This window comes from Homo sapiens, chromosome 3, assembly GCF_000001405.40.
Source record: "Homo sapiens chromosome 3, GRCh38.p14 Primary Assembly".
NCBI lineage: Eukaryota > Metazoa > Chordata > Mammalia > Primates > Hominidae > Homo > Homo sapiens.
In genome coordinates, this window is record NC_000003.12 from 56470847 (window position 1) to 56491046 (window position 20200).

The following is a 20200-nucleotide window of genomic DNA, read 5'->3' on the forward strand; positions in this document are numbered from 1 at the left end:
TTTGTTGTCGTGGTGGTTTGGTTTGGTTTGTATTGTTTTGACAGTTATTGATGTCTTTCTTCATCTTCACAAGCTCTTTTCAAGCAAGTCAGAGAGAGCATACTTTCATGGCAGATATTTTTTTCTCACATATTCATTCATTCATTCAACAAATACTTATTGAGCATCTACTTTCTCCTAGGTCCTGTGGGTTCAGAGCCCCTGCCTCAAGGACTGTACAGTTTAGTGATGGAGACAGACAAGAAGCAGGCAATAACAATACTGCCTATGAAGGGACAAAGTTCTGGGAACTGCAGGAACATGCAGGAAGGATAACCAACTGTTCCCCTGGGGTTCAGAAAAAGTTTTCCTGAGGAAATGTCAAATTTGCTGCCACATCCAACTTTGCTGCCCTATGGTGTGCTCAGCCTGGAGTGGCAGCTATCATAGATGGGAGCTGTGGTGGACACCTGCCCCTGGATGAGCCATGACAGGCTCTCCTTCCAGTATTTCAAACTGAGCTTGAAGAATGAGTCAGTCAGCTGGCATTGAATGGTGAGATTGTAGACTGTGGTGGCCCAAATTAGAACAATGGCACCAAAAACCATGATGCCAAAGTCATCAGGAAGTAAGTTCTAAGATCCTTGCCAAGGAAGTTGGTCTGTAAAGAGGAGAACAGCCAGCCATGTAGACAGAAATGAGATTTCTAAAGACCTAAAGGCCTTGGATATCTACCTGCTTATTTGACTTCCCCAGTGTGAGTATTTAACCCACCAGTATCTCAAACTTGATTTTTATGCACCAAGTCTCCTCTCTCCCAAGGTCACCCATCAGGATAATGACATCACCAATCATCCTGTTGCTCAGGTCCAAACCTAGGAGTATCATTAATTCTTCCTTTTGCTTATACCACACGTTTACACCATCAGCCAGTTCTATCAGCTTTACTTGGGGCTGAGCCAAGCCATATCAAACCCTGAAGCAAAAGAAAAACTCTGTACCCGTACATATTTTTTGAACCAAATAGAAAAAGTTAAGCTCTACAGTGAAAAAGCATGACTATATATAAAAGCACCGTAATGCCCAATCAGTTTTCCTATGATTGTCAACCCTCACAAGCCTGCCAGTGTGGGAATATGAGAGCCAAGTGGCCTTGGAACTGAGCACAGGTTGGAAACAACTGTTCTTCTTGCACAATGATGCAGGGTCATAAAACAACAACCTGTGTTGGTTTTGTTTTTGTTTCTTTGGGTTTTTTGCATTCATTTTGAATATAGTAACAGCAACAAAGAACAAATACCAATTAGACAAAATCAGTACTATGTGCGAGGCCCTGTTCTAAGCTCTTTGTGTGCATTAACTGACTTATTCCTCGCAATTGACCTAAAATATACCATTATTACACCTATTTTACCAACAAAGGCACTGAGGCACCTCTAGGTAAGGTAATTTACCAGGGCCACACAGCTAAGTCATCGCAGGGCTGAAATTCTAACCCAAGAAGTCTGACTCCAGAACAAACGAGGTAAAATAAACTGGACTTGGTGAGCAATTGGCTATGTGCAAGAGAGAGGAGTCAAAAATGTTCCCAGGAGTCTGGTTTGGGCAGCTAGGTGGATAGTGTGCCATTCACTAAAACTGGAAATAAAGGTTGGGGAGGAGTACAGGTTTATGGAAAGTTTATAGATCATATGGGAAACCCAATTATGAACAGTTTATGGGTTCAATTTAAGGCTTTTCGTATTTGAGATGCCAAGGACCTCATGGTAGAGATGTCCAGAACATGGCAGTTTCAATGTGCTTTGAAGTCAGACAGCAGATACTTGATGAAGACAGTATATGAGAGTCACCAAGTTTGGTGATTAGAGTCCTGGGCATAGCCGAGTAACCCAGAACAGTCATTAGCATGTCCACAGGAAGAATCTAGTTGAATAAGAAACAAAATCCCTAAACAACTTATAATTGTCTGTTCTTCTTAGGCATGAGGTCATTTGCGCAAGTCTTAACAGGGTAGATTTTAGCTCAAAAGAAACATGATTGAGCTGCCACTTTAAAACAAAACAAAACACCTAATTAACTGACCCATCACCACAACAGTTGGACTGGAAAAAAGTCACCTGATCCTTTGGAAGCCAACAATTGGTGCCGTTAAACCATTCAAATTATATTTGCCAGAAATGTTTTAAGACCTTTGTAGGTTTTAAGCATCATAGCAAAGATATCAAAATCCAGCACCATCAAAAGTATATATTTTTTTGGCTGTGCATGGTAGCTCACATCTGTAATCCAGCACTTTGGGAGGCCAAGGCAGGAGGATCACTTGAGCCCAGGAGGTCAAGGCTGCAGTAAGCTGTGATCACACCACTGCACTCCAGCACAGGTGACAGAATAAGACTCTGTCAAAAATATATATATATTTATACACACACACACATGCACACACACACATTTGTTTTTCTGTGAAAATGCTTGAAAGTTTTTTAAATTATTTGAGCAAGAACCATTCATTTTACTTACTTGTGGCTGTGGTTGTCCAAAATCATTAAGCATACTCAGAGACTATTATAAGGTGAGAAGAAAATCTAACATACAGTTGTTTGCAAATGAAAGGAAATGTTTATAAATATGAAAACCCATAAAGTTATATTTTGTAGACATTTATTAAACATTTAATTCTCAATTTATAATTTTCTGTAAATCTGTCATCTCAAGGCAGGCAAGTCTTTCAGGGCTTTGCAAAAATGTTGATTAAATGTTCATATAATGTAAAATAACATCAATTTCTTTAGTTCCTTGGCTTCCAATAACCTCATTTCCTGACTTTAATCACTCATGAAGTCTGACCCCCCCCTTGCTATCCTTGGGTTCCATGACAGGCCTCTATGTTTTTTCAGTAGATACCTTCTTTTTTGTTTGTTTGTTTTTGCCTCCTTAAGTATCTTTAGTGAGTTTCTCTTCCTTGCAACCACAAGTACTGTCGGAATTGAAAGTCAGCTTCCTTCCACCTAGGCAAGCCCCCCACTCTGGGCTCTGTGTGTTTCTCTGTGGTATTTTCCATGAACTGCTGCCCATTGCTTGGGCCTCCTCTTCCTTCCTCATTCCCTGGCTTGGCTATTTAAAGGTAGTTCATTAGCACCTTTTAAATTATGATAAAAGCTGTAAAATTAGGAGAATTTTTAACATACCCATTTTAAAATAACTCCAAGGTAGAAAAGACCTGTTTGAAGCTCTCGAGGAGAGAAATAACCACAGACACAGGCTTTAAAACCTCCACCATGCAGCAGACTCACGTAATCTTATTTGTCTCACTCAAACCCTGCTTCCTTTAGTCTTGTGCTTTTTGCTACCAAAGGATTTATATTCAGACACCACGCAGTTTTCCTTCTAAAGCTAAAGGCTTACGAGAGAGTTGAGCTAGCCTAGAAACCTATGAAGAGTTCTTACCTTGAATCTTGTCTGCATTTCCATCCATGCAGATACTGAAAAGACCCAGGCAAAAAATTAAAGCAAGCTAGTAATAGGATTCACTACAATCAGAAAAAAATAACAAAATTCAGGGGAGGTATTGAAATATGAAAGGTGTATAAAATATCAATTACACAGCAAAGCCCACCTTTTTACAGTTTTCCTCCACAGTGGCAAAAGTTCAGAATTTAATAGTTGTGTGTCTTCAGACAAATTACTTACTTAGAGATTCTTTTCCTTATTTATAAAATAGGACTAGTCACAGTTTCTTTTCAACATGACTGTGATGAGGATAATCATATAACTATTCAGGTAAAGTCCTTAGATCACTCAAGAAATGGTGGCTTCTGTGCTCATAATAATGATCATGAAAAGAGTGTAATTTACATACAACATTCTTAGAAGGTTTAAATTAATCTGTGAAACTTTATAATAAATGGCCAGGACTAGGGTGAAGCAAGTGAAACCCTAGCCTTGGGTGCACAATTCAAAAGGGTACCAAATTCTCAGTAATCAAGATGCATTATATTTTAATATAATATTTTTGAAAAACAAATTCGTAAACTACAGCCCATGGACCAGCTACTTGTTTCTGTAAATAAAGTTTTATTGGAAGTTTTGAGAAACAATAAAGAGAAAAAAGGACCGGAGCTTCCTTTATAGGAATTTTACACCCTGAGGGTCCAAAGAAGAATTTCTTATACTAGGGCTTTTAATTAACAGCCAAATTCCTAGTGCTAGGAGTGCTGCTGAACACTTGCATTCATCTATTATCTTTACAGCCTAGACTCTCTGTGGGCAGGAGAAAAACACCTGTTCAAAAGGTGGGTTCTCATTGTGAGAGGAAGGGTAACAAGCTATTCAGCAATTCTTGGAACCAAAATGAACTTGTTTACCCATTTTAACAAGAACCCAAGGTCTACAGAATACCTGCTTTTGACTATATATTGGAAAAATCAATGAGATAAATATCTGAATAAACACACTGAATACTCGATAAATATGAGTCATTTTTTAGTAATATGAGAATTGTTAATGTAATTTGAAGAGTGGAATCCACAGTTGTACTGCAAAGATATAAGTGATGGGTCCATCAATCAGCCTGCTGCAGAACGGGGCCAATGCTAGATAAAGGGAGAATGGGGCATCAACCCAGAAAATGGGATTGGGTGCTGGTTTTTCTTCCAAGCATGAGGTATATATCCTATCACCTACAAAAGTGGCTCAGATTACTGAATGTTCTAGCACTAAGCAATTCTTATAGACAGTACAAAGCCTCATAACTTAAGTTGCCAAAAATTTATCCATTTCTTGAAACAGGTTTTGGATCAGCTCTGAGAAAGAGTTCTTTTCCAAACAAAAGCCTAACTACACAATTAAATGAAAGGGAATTCATTCACTTGGAGGAGAATAATGAAAGAAAACAAGTTATTTTAAATGATAAAAAATATGAACCAAATTGGCAACACCTTTAGAATGATTGCTGCTGGGTTTGATTAATGGGATACATTATCAGCTGAACAAAAAAAGAGTTTATCAGTTTAGTACATTTTTTACTTAACCTTTCAATGAAAATCTTAAAACTTTTTTCAGCATACAAAAATAGGAGGAATGGCTTAGAAAAGAAAATTGAAATGTTCCAGAAAAAGCAAAAATCTACCCTCTGAGATAACTGACCACCACTTTTAACAGCCTGGTGTTTATTCCCTTGGATTTTTGAATGTATATATATTTTTAATTGGATCCAACTATGGTTTTTGTCTTTCAGTATCCTTTATCTCCTTCTAGCTTTACACTTTGCCCCTCTGGCTTCAGAAGTTGTCGCACCACTTTTCCTCCTTGGCCACAGTGATTGCTCCAAGCACTAGACACATGAACATAGCCAGGCCAATGAGAATCCTTTCCTTAGATTTTTCAACTACTGGAACTCTGTTCTTCTCTAGTCAAGGAGCTACAAGAATGTAGTAACAGGCCAGGCTGCAGTTGCTCATACCTGTAATCCTAACACTTTGGGAGGCCGAGGTGTGAAGATCGCTTGAGCCCAGGAATTCAAGACCAGCCTGGGCAACATGGCAGGACCCCATCTCTACAAAAAAAATGAAAAATTAGCCAGGCGTGGTGATGTGCACCTGTAGTCCTAGGTTCTCGGGAAGCTGAGGTGAGAGAATTGCTGGAGCCCAGGAGGTTGGGGCTGCAGTGAACCATGATCATGCCAGCCTGGATAACAGAGCAAGATCCTGTCTGAAAAAAAAAAAACAAAAACATGATAACAGAGTTGGTGGCAACCATGGCTCCACTGTCATGGAAAAGCTGCAAACAGTCAGCAGCAGAGACAAAAGGCAGAGAGAAAGTCTTGGCCCTGAGAGCATTCAGGTTCCTGATTCCATTGCTAAGGACCCTGATGTCCCAGTCATTCCCAAAGCTCTTTTGTGCAGTTCTTTCTTCAATTCTCTGAGTGACTCCAGCATTGTTCCAGTTCTTATAACTGTCTTACACCCATAGTAAGTTCCATTTCTTACTGAAGCTATTCCCCATGATTGTCTGCCACTTGCAGCCAAGAGAATCCTACTATACATACTCTTCTGCAATTTGATTTTATTCAGTTAAAATTGTACATAGCATGGACAATTTCCATATCAATGCACATCTCCCTCTTCCTTTTCAATGGCCGAATAATAGTCCTTTGTATGGATGAATGTTTATGACCTTTTTCTAAAGCCAGAAACACAAGAAGGTTTTAAAAATGGTAAACACAGAAAATTATACTCAGCTTGAAGAGCTGCAGCCACATTAGGAGTGGTGATTGTTATGGAAATGAGAGGCCAGCATTGATGAAGTTTAAGTAGCACTTATTCCCCAACCACCCATGTAGTACTCATCAAACCTGTCTTATGCAGAGTAATTTTTGGCATTTGTTATCACCTCTGCAGATTTCTAAAAGTTATGCCTTGTATATGCACCCCAGTTTCCCTGCTTCACCCAGCATTGTAACCATAACTCAACCACTCATTCACAGGGTCTTCAAACCTATTTGTTATAGATGAACAAATATTTGAGTGAAGTTGAGAGGAGGCTGTGTTTGCATGAGTTGTTGAGACCTGGAACCATAAGTACAATTAGTACCAAGTTTGAATCCATCTGAAGTTTTGAAGTCCACTGTTTCTGCCATGCAGTTTCCAAGACATGGATCAACTTTAATAAAGAGTTACACTTGGGCTTCACAGTCATACAGTAATGGGGTCAAGTTCCAGTTCCTCCGTTTGTACGTTGTGTGGTCTTGAGCTAAGGCTCCCCTCTAAGCTGTTTTCTCATTAGAAAAAAAAAGAGGGTTGATTAATAGTACTTATCTCATAAATAATTTGAGAAGATTAAATAAGAAATTGTGTGGAAAGTTTCTATGACTGTGCTGCATTCATAGTAAATGCTTAATAAACGGAGGCTAGCATCATCTTCTTCATGATATTCAATACATTCTGTTGTCCAGGGCTGTATACCGCTTCCACCTTCCAAGTTTTTCAACTGCCAAAGTGACTTTCAGAAACTGTTCTTTAAAGAGCTGGGTGCTAGCCAGGAAACATTTGGAAGCAAAAATAGTCCTAAAAATAAGGAAAGGACGCATGACTTTTTAAATGTTGAGTTTTCCTTTAAGAGCAAAATTAAACTGTGAGTAAAGATCAAAATTCATTCTTTCTGTGACCTTGTTCCAAAGTGAGGTTTATTGGAGCATAATACATGTCAGATGTTGTTTAGAGTGGCATGTGCCCTTCTCAGGATATGTTGAACATACGCTGTGTGTCTAGGGGTTTTTCTAGCAGGTGTTTTGGGGCTGAAGAGAGAAGAAGGGTTCATTTGACAACAACATCCACAGCCCTCAGGTTCACCCTGGATTATGTTCTTCAAAGTACAAACAGGTATAAAAAGGATAATTTCCTAGATCCTTAAGGCAAATAGTTTGTGAAATCGAATTCAAGGGACTTTCCCCTGATGATATTATGGCCTTGGGAATTCAGATTAATTGTTCATATAAAATACAGAAGAGGAAAAAACTGCAGCATGGATTGGGATTCAATTTAATACCTTCCAAGAAATTGTCCTCTTCTTGCAGTTTCCATTGCTTAACACCTTCTTCTCCCACCACTCCACCTTGTTAACTTCTGTTCTTCCTTCTGCCACAACTCAGATGGCATTGCCTGCAGCAGCACTCCCTGAGTCCTCTGTTAGGTGCCGTGCTATCAAATCTCATTGCCCACCACACTTCTTCATAGCACTTACCAAGACCATCATGGAATAACTGACTCTTGGACTCAGTGCTTTCTCACCCACACAACTGTATGCTCCAGTTTCACCAGGAATGGGACCACTTCTATCACGTTGGCCCCATTGCCAGGTCCTTTGTAATGATATTATAAATATCTGAAAATCTTGAGAAAAAATTTGATTTATTCAATAAATTTTGACTTTAGAAAACCCAATGAGTAGCTAATTTGCTAAGGAGTTTTCCTTATGATGGTCAGAAGAATGTCTTTATTCCATGTAATGAAAAAAAAACCCACTATAGCTATTTGATATTGTATTATCGACATTCTCTGAACTTATTTGGTTATCAGTTTCAGGAAAGAAAGTGATAATTATAATAATTAGCTCTAATTGGATGTGTAAATGGCTACATTCAAAAAGGAATTGAAAGAGACTCACGTAAAAGGGGTCTTGAAAGCCATACCTTACCTACCTGCATAGTCATGCTACACAAGGGTGGCAGACAAAAGCCAGAGTGAACAAAAGACAAAAGCCAGAGGGTTATTGATGACACTGCTCACCCCGCTGAAGCACCTGCAGCACTGGGTTTCAGTACGTCGACTGGAAGAAACTTCTGAGACAGCTTCCCCTTCTCAGAGCCAGCTAGCCTCTGCTTGGATCCTCTCTGTGAGAAGGGACTCACTTAACACCACGAGGCAGTCCATTCCATTATTGAATGGTTTAAAGGATTGGGTAGTTTCTTCCTACATTAAGACAAAAATGTGTTTGGCTCTAATTCCACCCATCAAAATCATTCTGCATCTGGCAGATGCACCAAGGCTAACAATTTTAGTTCCAGCATAAGACAAACTCATTTTTGAGTATTACTAGCTGTGTGATCTTGGGCAAATTGCTTCACCCCCTCTGAGCCTCAATTTCTTAAACTAGACACTAAATCTTAACCTGTAGTCAAAATTAAAAAATAAATTCATGTCAAGCACGTAGCCCCGTGCTTGATTCATATAAAGAGAGAGCTGTGAACTCTCCATATTCTTTCTTCTACATGGCAAGCATTCAAATATCAGAAGACAATAGCCCCATTTAGCCTTTTTTTTTTAATTTTTTTTATTATACTTTAAGTTTCAGGGTACATGTGCACAACGTGCAGGTTAGTTACATATGTATACATGTGCCACGTTGGTGTGCTGCACCCATTAACTCATCATTTAACATTAGGTATATCTCCTAATGATCCTAATGCTATCCCTCCCCCTTCCCCCACCCCACAACAGGCCCTGGTGTGTGATGTTCCCTTTCCTGTGTCCATGTGTTCTCATTGTTCAATTCCCACCTCTGAGTGAGAACATGTGGTGTTTGGTTTTTTGTCCTTGTGATAGTTTGCTGAGAATGATGGTTTCCAGTTTCATCCATGTCCCTACAATGGACATGAACTCATCATTTTTTATGGCTGCATACTATTCCATGGTGTATATGTGCCACATTTTCTTAATCCAGTCTATCACTGTTGGACATTTGGCTTGGTTCCAAGTCTTTGCTATTGTGAATAGTGCCACAATAAACATATGTGTGCATGTGTCTTTATAGCAGCATGATTTATAATCCTTTGGGTATATACCCAGTAATGGGATTGCTGGGTCAAATGGTATTTCTAGTTCTAGATCCCTGAGGAATCGCCACACTGACTTCCACAATGGATGAACTAGTTTACAGTCCCACCAACAGTGTAAAAGTGTTCCTATTTCTCCACATCCTCTCCAGCACCTGTTGTTTCCTGACTTTTTAATGATCGCCATTCTAACTGCTGTGAGATGGTATCTCATTGCATGGTACTGGTACCAAAACAGAGATATAGACCAATGGAGCAGAACAGAGCCCTCAGAAATAATGCCACATATCTACAACCATCTGATCTTTGACAAACCTGAGAAAAACAAGAAATGGGGAAAGGATTCCCTATTTAATAAACGGTGCTGGGAAAACTGGCTAGCCATATGTAGAAAGGTGAAACTGGATCCCTTCCTTACACCTTATACAAAAATTAATTCAAGATGGATTAAAGACTTAAATGTTAGACCTGAAACCATAAAAACCCTAGAAGAAAACCTAGGCAATACCATTCAGGACATAGGCATGGGCAAGGACTTCATGTCTAAAACACCAAAAGCAATGGCAACAAAAGCCAAAATTGACAAATGGGATCTAATTGAACTAAAGAGCTTCTGCACAGCAAAAGAAACTACCATCAGAGTGAACAGACAACCTACAGAATGGGAGAAAATGTTTGCAATCTACTCATCTGACAAAGGGCTAGTATCCAGAACCTACAATGAACTCCAACAAATTCACAAGAAAAAAAACAAACAACCCATCAACAAGTGGGCGAAGGATATGAACAGACACTTCTCAAAAGAAGACATTTATGCAGCCAAAAGACACATGAAAAAATGCTCATCATCACTGGCCATCAGAGAAATGCAAACCATTTAGCCTTTTCTAGGCTAACTCCTGGTTTCTTTGGCCATTTATTCTATAAGGTGCCTTGTGACATCTAGCTAATTAGGTTACAATGAACTCCCAGAATTGAATCAAGTTCTGCAGGAGATGATTAATTCAAACTCGTAGAGCTACTGCTCCCAGGTACTCTGAAGGCTGAGGCAGGAGGATCACTTGAGTTCAGGAGTTCAAGATCAGCCTGGGCAACACAGCAAGGCCCCGTCTCCAAAAAAGAAAAAAGAAGAGCTACTGCAGTGGGGAAAGAAGGTAACAGGGGAAACACCTCAGTTTGTGCAGGTGCACAAGAGGCATGTCTTTCCCACGTCTGCACCCTAACATTCTATGTATGTAGGGAAGATTTCAACCATGTTAGCAGTCCCCTCAGACTAGTGACTTAGTACAACCGAACTCTTTTAAAGGTAAATTTTATTGTTCTTGTGTTCTAGTTTTAAGAGCAGCATATGTTCAATACAGGAAATTTTTGCAAACTCTTGAAAAGAAAGAAGAAGAAAAATCTTCCATGATACTATATCCAGAGATAAATTGCCATTAGCACTTATTGTGTCTTTTTTCATTTTTAATTTATAGGTGAGTTGATATTCAGCAACTTCCATTTACATCTTATTGGTTTAATAAGGTAACCTCTAGCTGCAAAGGAAACTGGGAAATATAGTTTCTTTTAAGGGTCACTCTGATGCCTTGAATAAAATTCCGGTTTATTAATAAGGAATATGGGGAAATGAATATTGGGAGGGCAACTGGCAGTGTCCGCTGAACTTGTCTTTTTGAACATTTCTCTTGTTTTCAATTTGTCTGTATTATAAACAATGTTTTGATGAATGCCTTGTAGGAAAATCTTTGTACCTATCTATGATTATTCCTTAGGGCATGTTCCTAAAAGCAACTGTAGGGCTTAAGGATATGTGTCTTTCAAAGCTATTGTTTCATGTTATGCAATAATTTTTTAAGCAAACACAGCATGCGACATTTGTTGTTCTTAAATTTTATCTGTTAGATTTTAAAAGCTTAGTTATTTGGCATTTTAGTGTGAATTCTGATCTCCTTCCCAGATTTATCCTATTTAAATTACTAATAAAAAGTCTTGGCTGAGTGTAGTGGCTCATGCCTATAATCCCAACACTTTGAGAGGTTGAGGCAGGAGGATCACTTGAGTCCAGGAGTTTAAGACCAACCTGGGCAACATGGCGAAAACCCGTCTCTACAAAAAAAGTACAAAAATTAGCCAGGTGTGGTGGCACATACCTGTTATTCCAGCTACTCAGGAGGCCAAAGTGGGAGAATCACTTGAGTCTGAGAGGTTGATACTGCAGTGAGCTGAGACCACGCCACTGTACTCCAGCCTGAGTGACAGAGCAAGACCTTGCCTCAAAAAAAAAAAAAAAAAAAAAAAAAAAAAAAAAAAAAAAAAAAAAACAGCCTGGGTAAAGGGTTCTGTGACATTCCATGACAGACCTACCTTCAGTCTAACACTGAGCCATTAAAAAGCCTTCTCGGCACAATTGTTTAAGGAGCCGTGACTTCATTTTACGCTCAATTGACAAATGTTTTCTGAATGCTTTCTATACACTAAGCACTGAGCTAGGCAACATATGTACAGGATGGGTAAGCTCTCATTCCTGCCCTCAAATGGCCTAAAACTACTGTCCAGCTCACATTTGCCACCTTGTCCCTATGGATGCGCAAGATACTTTGTCAAATGCTTTGTCCATATCAGGATATATTTTGCCTATAATATGCCTGTGAAATTCTGGTCTGATAATCCAACCCAAAAAGGAAATAAGGTCAAGTTGGCTTCATTTGGCCATACCATCATACATAGACTTTGCCACTCAGATCATAAGCAATCATACATTGCATTTATTTTGTACTCAACCCTTAGCTAAGCACATGCTCAATAAAGATCTGTTAAACGAATTAATAAATAAATGGATGTGTGAAAAAGTTCATATTTACTAATTCTGAAACCAAATGAGGCTTACTGCTCTATTAAAAAGTACAATAAACCTCTGTCTTCATTCTGTGTATGAATTGTGAGCAAGTATGTGTGAATGTATTTGTAACTGTGTGTGGGGGTGTGTGCAAGTATATGTGTGTAAATATATTGTGTCACTTCATAATAAAGTAGTGGTTTTATAAAATTCTGGAGGGTTACTCCACAGTAGTTATTTTATACCCTCTTTGTTAATTCTAAAAGTCATCGAAAAGCAAAACATTTAAATAAAGTAAATTTAGTTATAGACTAAACCCATAGATCCACCTCATTTTTTAATATAAAACAAGAGATGGAAAATAATCTAATGTTTTGTCTATTTTGCCAAAACCCAAAATCTTTCTCCTTTGGGCAAGGAAATACTCACACCATAAGGAGTAATTCTTTAATTGCTTCTAATTAAAATAAATGCCCATGCACTCTGGGTCTCTGGGAACATGACTAACACTTGCCTCACCTTGCAGATGAAGCGTGGGTAAGGTTGTGAAAATAGTGGGTATCACCTCAACACCACCGCCTCCTCTAGCCTTACAGCTGAAATCAGGCACCCACCAATATCAGTAGGCCCAGGGCTCTTTCCAACAGCAAAGTATGTGAGACTATCAAGGAAGCTCAGATATTGAGTCAGTTCTTGAAACAGATTTTTGCGGAAGTAGCTTAGTAATTAGAAGACCATGGCTTTGGAGACCAAAAGACCCCTCAGCCAGGTGAGGAAAGACAGACAGACAGAAAGAAAGAAAGAAAGAAAGAAAGAAAGAAAGAAAGAAAGGGAGGGAGGGAAGGGAAGGGAAGGGAAGGGAAGGGAAGGGAAGGGAAGGGAAGGGAAGGGAAGGGAAGAGAAGAGAAGAGAAGAGAAGAGAAGAGAAGAGAAGAGAAGAGAAGAGAAGAGAAGAGAAGGAAAGCAAAGGAAAGGAAAGGAGAAGAGAAGAGAAGAGAAGAGAAAAGAAAAAGAAAAGAAAAGAAAGAGAGAAAAAGGCTCAGAGAGATGAGGTGACTTGCCTAAGCTCACACAGCTAGTAAGGTCAGGCTCTAACTGGGTCAAATGCCTCACAGATTCAAGCTCTTGACCAACTGCTAGACAACTGAGCCTCCTACCATCTGACATATTTAAAACAGCTCCAGAATGCCCACCCCAACCTTCAAACAAGCAGCTGTCTCTTCAGAAGGTGCTGCCCACACAGCCATAGGATATAAATTTGTACCAGCCTACTCGGAGTGGGCTGTGGTTGGATGTTCCAGTTTTAATCGTCAACAGCAGTGCCCAAGTAGTTCTGGCCATTCAGTCTACTTTGTGGGAGAAAAGGCAGCTGGCAGTCTGTCAAAGCAAATGCTGAACACATAAAGGCAGAGGTTGGGGAGCAGATGTAGTCTCCGCTAGTAACAAAGATTAAAGAACATATTTCTTCCGTGAGACCAGCATCTAAAACATAAAATGATAAATGAACCTCAGCTTCTGAGCAGTGGAAACTTTTTCCAGGTTATCAAGAATAACAGCAATATATTTAATATGTTTTTGAGTATCTGTATGCTTCTTCCTTGCCTTGATCATTAATTTGAGAAAGTACATAATTAAAAGTAAACCTATTCATAGCATCTTCATCCCAAGGGGCTGAAGCACTTTAATGTCATAAGTAAGCCAATGAGATTTATGGCTGGTCTCTGCCTTTAAGACTTGCCCTTTGACCTTAGGTGAATAATTGTACCACTGGGAGTTCATTAGAGGAAGTAGAAACCAGGACTGCTGACCCTCTCTCATTGGCTGTCCACAGGGGAAGACCCAGCAGCAAACAGATAAGGCTTTAATCTGTCACTGAGTTTCATTATGGTCTGACACTGTTCCCTGTTGCAGAACATGTCCTTTGTAGCATTTACAAGCCCACAAGAAGCTGACGTTAATGACCGCTGGTAGCACATTTTAGCTTTCCATTTGTTTGATTTATTTCATCCTCCTAACAACCTTTTGAGGAGCTTAGTGCTGATATTATCCCTATTTGACAAATAAGGAAAATGAGGCACAAGGCTTACCTAGTTTACATGACTGGGACCAGAATTGGGACCTGTGACCTCTCCAACCTATTCACAGCCAACCGTGCTTATGCAGAGATTGACTTAGAACCCCCATCTTGAACTCTTTTTGGAAGTAGATGTGATACAAGCCTTAAATAAATGAAGGTGTATATGAAAGCTATGGGTCCAGGGGTGGGGAGGATTAAACACTGGAGAACTCTTCAGCTGAACTTGAAGGACTCCCGTAATAATAACAGAGCCAGCCACCACTCATTGAACAATTGCTGGGTGCTGGGCACTGAGTCAAGAACTTTACATGGATACATCTTCTCATTTAGCACTCGCTACAACTGTGGGAGGTGGGACATTATATTCCCCATTTGCAGGATAAAGGACTGTATCCCACAAAGTAGCTCTCCCCAGATCTGGACATTCCTTATATCAAAGCCATTACTGCTCACCAAAACCCCATGCTGTTTTCTGTAATTAATAGATTGGGGGAATGAAAGGCATTTCTTAAAAGTAACTCAGTGGTCTGAACCTTAAAAACGCATTATCTTAAGATTTTGCATGCCAAAAAGAAAAATCAGTCAAGTGTGTTGAAGGGACATTTAAGTTATTCTTACATTTGTCATTGTTATATACAGCATGGCAGAGTATTTAACCAGGATGGCCAGCTTTGAAGCATGAGAGCCTTTCTAAGCCTCAGTTTCCTCATTAGAAAAATGGGGATAAAATTATACCACCTCATAATGTTGTTTTCAGAATTAAATCATATAATATATAAAGCATTTAGCACCACTTTTTTACATATAGGCAATCAATGAAAGGTGGCTGCTATCACATCATAGTAATATAATGATGTTGCTTAAAATAAATAGGACAGATACTATAACAAGCAAAAGGTATGGAATTCAGATGATAGCTTTTTAGTCTATTCTATGCTAACAACTATTTATTTCCTATTGATGGGTATTTAATTGGTGCTTTTTACTGGAAGCTTAGATTTGTGATTTTGTTTGGTGAGGAGGAGTCTGCAGTGATTGTATATACAATGATGATTTCTTCTGCTTGATAAACAGAAACCCAGAACAGCACCAACAGTGGGGTAGAAAAATATGACTTATTAGCTATTTTACTAATGCAAAATCAGCCTGGGGAATGCCAATGCATCAGATGAGGACCATGCAGGAGATGCCAGCTTTTCTTCATTTCAGAAAATTATATCAGAGCATCTACCAAACGGCATCCAAATGTTCATAGGGTTGGCCTTGCTTGTTTAAGGTAAGAAATAAGTGTAATGGGCAGTCCCAGGAGCATCCCAAGTCTCTCAGTACCCAACTATGTTGAAAGTCTATATCCCAAGCCTCTCAATACCACCACTATGTAGAAAGAAACAGCAGCAGCTCCAGCTAGCTGTCTCCCTGTCATGACTTGATGCCATTGGAAAGTTCTGGATCACCAGGACTTACCGATATTCATCAAGAAGCCAGACAGAAAAGCCCTGCTTGTCTATGTCAATGTTCTGTCAACAGTAACTTGTCTATAGTCATCTATCTTTTATGGTTTGAGATCCCATTTTCATACCCATTGTCTTCATAACTTTGGGCAAGTTCTTTCCCCCGAGTCTTGATTTCCTCATCCATAAGTTGGACAAAATAACAGAAAACTCAAATTCCGTTTAGAAATAACTCAACTTTGGGCTGGCAGCCAAGGCTCATGCCTGTAATCCCAACATTTTGGGGGGCCAGGGCAGGAGTAAGGTTCGATCCCAGGAGCTCAAGACCAACCTGGGCAACAAAGCAAGACCCCTCTCTACAAAAAATTTAATAATTAGCTAGGCATGTTGGTGCACATCTATAGTTCCAACTACTCGGGAGGCTGGGAAGGCAAAGGCAAAGATTAGGAGAGCGTTTCAGACTGAGAATGGTGAAGTTCTGGCTTAGGGATGGGGCAGCTCTCAGTTTGTCCAACAGCTGAAGGGAGGCCCCTGCAGGAGGGGTTAGATTGGAAGAGGGAGTGGATGCTGTGATAAGCCATCCCAATGCCCCCACCTATCACCTGCTTCAAGACTGAGGCACTCGATCCCCTGGCTTCTGCTAGCACTGGCGACTGACTGCTCAGCTGATCCTTGTCTGGGAATTCACTTTGGCTGAAGAGAGCTGCCTAGCCTAAGGACTTGGTCCTCCCTGGGGGAAGCCTGCATGCAATGACAAGTCTATGATGTATGTGGAATCGGGGGGCAGGTGTTGGTATAAAGGCCTGACCCCTTCCTTGCTGTAATTCAAGACAACTTCAGAGCTTCCTGTGAGATCAGCTGAGGACTTTGCCATGAGTGCCTCACAATGCAACTTCTCCATTGGCCCAGTCCTGCTTTTCTCACTGCCCTTCCATGAGGATCCTGTGCACTCCCTGCTAAGCTTCCTGCATGCAAATCTTCATCTCAGGTTCTTCCTGGGGAACCCAGAGCAGAAGTGGAAAGGACATTTGCAGGAACTATTCCAGTAGCACAAGCAAAAAACAAAGAGGGGTTGGACTAGAATAGTGGTTTTGGGGATGGAGATAAGCAGACAAATTTTAGATGAGGAGGTAGAGGTTGGAGAATATAAGGTTATTTGAAGGTAGGGAAGCTGAAAGCAAGACAGGATAACTAACAATGCTGAGTCTGAGGCAAAAGGAAATATCAGTAATAGCGATCTTATGTTTATTTAAAATTATTGCATTTTGTTCACCATGGGGGTTTTTTGGCATTAATTTTGATTTTTAAAAATATTGCTTCTCTTTCCTGCTGAGTGTTTTGGCATCCCCTTAAATTTTGCACTCCAGACTTGTACCTCACTTACTTCACCCTAGTCCTGGCCCTGAAAATGTTTATCTTAAGACACTAAGTTTTGGAATTATTTCATTTTTTTTTAAATTTAAGGTTTCTTTTAAGAGACACATGTCTCACTATGTTGCCCAGGCTGGTCTCAAACTCCTAGCCTCAAGCAGTCCTCCTGCCTCAATCCCCTCCTGCCTCAATTCCCACTACACCTGGGTCTGGAATTGTTTCTTGCATAGCAATAGGTAACTAATGTGCTAGCAAGGAGTCCTTTGGAAATTTACTTAATCTCTCAAAGCCTTGGTTTCCTAATCTGTGAAACAGGGATAAAAGCATATTTCCTATGGTTATTTTAATGATTAAATGAAATATTTCAGAGAAAGCCCTTAACATAGTGACCATCACACAGTGTTTCAATTCAATGTGTCCACAATTGTCATCAATGAAATCACAAGAGTGAGATCCTCATTTTAAGATCCTGGAGTAATATTATCATTTTTTTCAAAATACTAGGCAGAACTTCCTGTTCTGTTTCTTAAATAAGTTTTTCTAAATGTTCTCTCTTCTAATGGTCTTTGTGGGCATAAATTTAAGTATGAAAGATAGTGCCTAGTTGCTTAAAAGGCAACTGGTAATGCTTACTACTCTGAACGGGAACAGGACACCCTGAGTTACTCTTTTAATTACTATTCACGTTTATTGAATACTCATGAAGTGTCAGGGCTCTGGGACAAGGGCATCATTCATTTTGATATTTAATCCCACAGGCCACCTACAAAGTGAGCATTCCCCATTTCCCCCAATTAATCCCCATTTTACAGATAGGGAAACTGAGGGAGGCCTAGAGAAGGTAAACATTTTGTACAAGGTCACAGCTGGAAGGCATTGTTCTCAAGGTCTCTGCAGCCTGTGTACAGTTTGCAAGTGGAAGTATTTCTCTCAATTCCAGCTGTGCCCTTGATTGGGCAAATTACTTTTCCATGACCCACAGCAAAAATTACATCTGGGTGTCTCACCCAAATGTAATAAGGGTGTTTCGCCCATTAAGGGTTAGTCCTTTGAAGGATTTCTCTATTAATAATATGAATTGTAGACTGACACTGAGTCAGCACGTTGAGTCTTACTGGTATCCCCGCTTCTGCATGAATAACAGCATGTGCTGAGTAAGAGGTTCGGAGCTGCTTTAATTCCCTCCCTGTGGCTTTCGCCTCAAGAATTGGCTTACTCCACTGCTGTGGCCTGATATGCCAGCACAACACAGCAGCCTTCTTGGGTTGCAGGACTCCAATTTTTTCAGTACCTTATGGTCTCCTTTGCCCTTGAACTATGGATATCGACTTTTCACTTTAATGCACATTATCTAGAGAAATTCAAAGCCAAAGAAAAACATTCCACAAGACCTGCCTCTGTAGGAATTGGAATAGAGTAGGAAATAGAAAAGTTTGTGTGAGGGCCATGTTTGTTCCCACGAGTCCAGACTTCCTTGCACAGCTGGAGGGCTTCTCTTGGGGAGACTCAACATGAGCCAAAACATCTGGACTTTTCGCTTTAAAAAATCTGGTGTCTGCCATCTACAAGCCATAGTATACATTTTTGTTCTTTATATTTAGTAAAATAAGAAACCTTTTGGGAGAAGAGCTCATTGTCTTAGTGCAGGTCATTAAGTATTTGCTAAGCACAGACTATGTTGCCTGCCAAGCACTCATCATTTGTCTTGTGTTCCAGCGTTTCAAGAAGTTTAAAATCAGATCCAATTAAAAGTGATGCCCCTCTAAAGAGGCATAAATGTCCTTATCCAAGAAAACAAAACCTTTGACCTTCTGTGTTGTAGAAATCCTGCACAGTGATAGAAGCTTATGTACAACACTATGCTTATAACAGGGGGAAAGGAATTGTTTATGCACATTGAGGTTCAACTTAGCATCAGTGATTCATTCCACACTGTCAAGAGTGTTTACCAAGCACTCTTCCTGAAAGGTCTCTGCCAGCTGGAGAAGTCTCTGGCGTATAATTCACAGAATCTTATACCTGGACAGGGTTTTTGAGGTCATCTCATCAAATACTATCCCAGTGCAGGGCTTCCTCCCTGACCTTCTGACAGATGGTGTGCACATTCAGCCACTACTCCAGCAGCATCTTTCCTCCAACCTTCCCCTGGTCCTGTGCACAATCCACTGCTACCCCACTGAGTCTCTGTAATGTGAACTGAATTATGTCCCTCCCAAATTCAAATTATGTGGAAGCCCTAACCCCCAATGGGACTGCATTTGGAGATAGAGCCTTTAAAGAGGTAATTAAGGCTAAATGGGTTCATAAGAGTGGGGCCCTGATCCAGCCTGACTGGTGTCTTTGTAAGAAGAGGAAGAGACACCAGGGGTGTGCACACACACAGTAAAGACCATGTGAAGAGGACGCAGCAAGAAGGCAGCCATCTGCAAGCCGGGAGAATCCGACCCTGCCAGCACCTTGATCCTAGACTTCCAGACTACAGATCTGTGAGGAAATGGACTTCTGAGGTTTTTTGGGTTTTTTGTTTGTTAGTTGGTTGGTGGGTTTCAGACGGAGTCTTGCTCTGTTGCCCAGGCTGGAGTGAAACAATCCCGGCTCACTGCAACCTCTGCCTCTTGGGTTCAAGCGATTCTCCTGCCTCAGCCCCCCAAGTACCTGGGTCTACAGGTGTGTGCAACCATGCCCGGCTAATTTTTGTGTTTTTAGTAAAGACCGGATTTCACCATGTTGGCTGGGCTGGGCTCAAACTCCTAGCCTCAAGTGATCCGCCTGTCTCAGCCTCCCAAAGTGCTGGGATTATAGGCGTGAGCCACTGCACCTGGTGGAATTTCTGTTTTGAAGCCACCCAATCTTTGGTATTTTGTTCTGGCAGCCCAAGCTGACTAAGACACTTCCTTCTAGAGTTTTTTGGCCTTCTACCCAGCCTGCCTCTTTGGTAGTTTACACTGTCCTGTTTTTAGTCTTTATATGAGATTTAAGCCTATTCTAATAATGCTCCCTTGTTCACACTTTGCTTTATCAGTATGTGTCTCATCTCCCAAAGCACATTATTAACTCATAGGAAAAAACAATCAGGTTAAACAAGCCTCTTTTTTTCTGAAGTGCCTAGAAGGAAGCAGTATAGACTCTGGGGATTTAATAAATCTGAATTGCTTAAA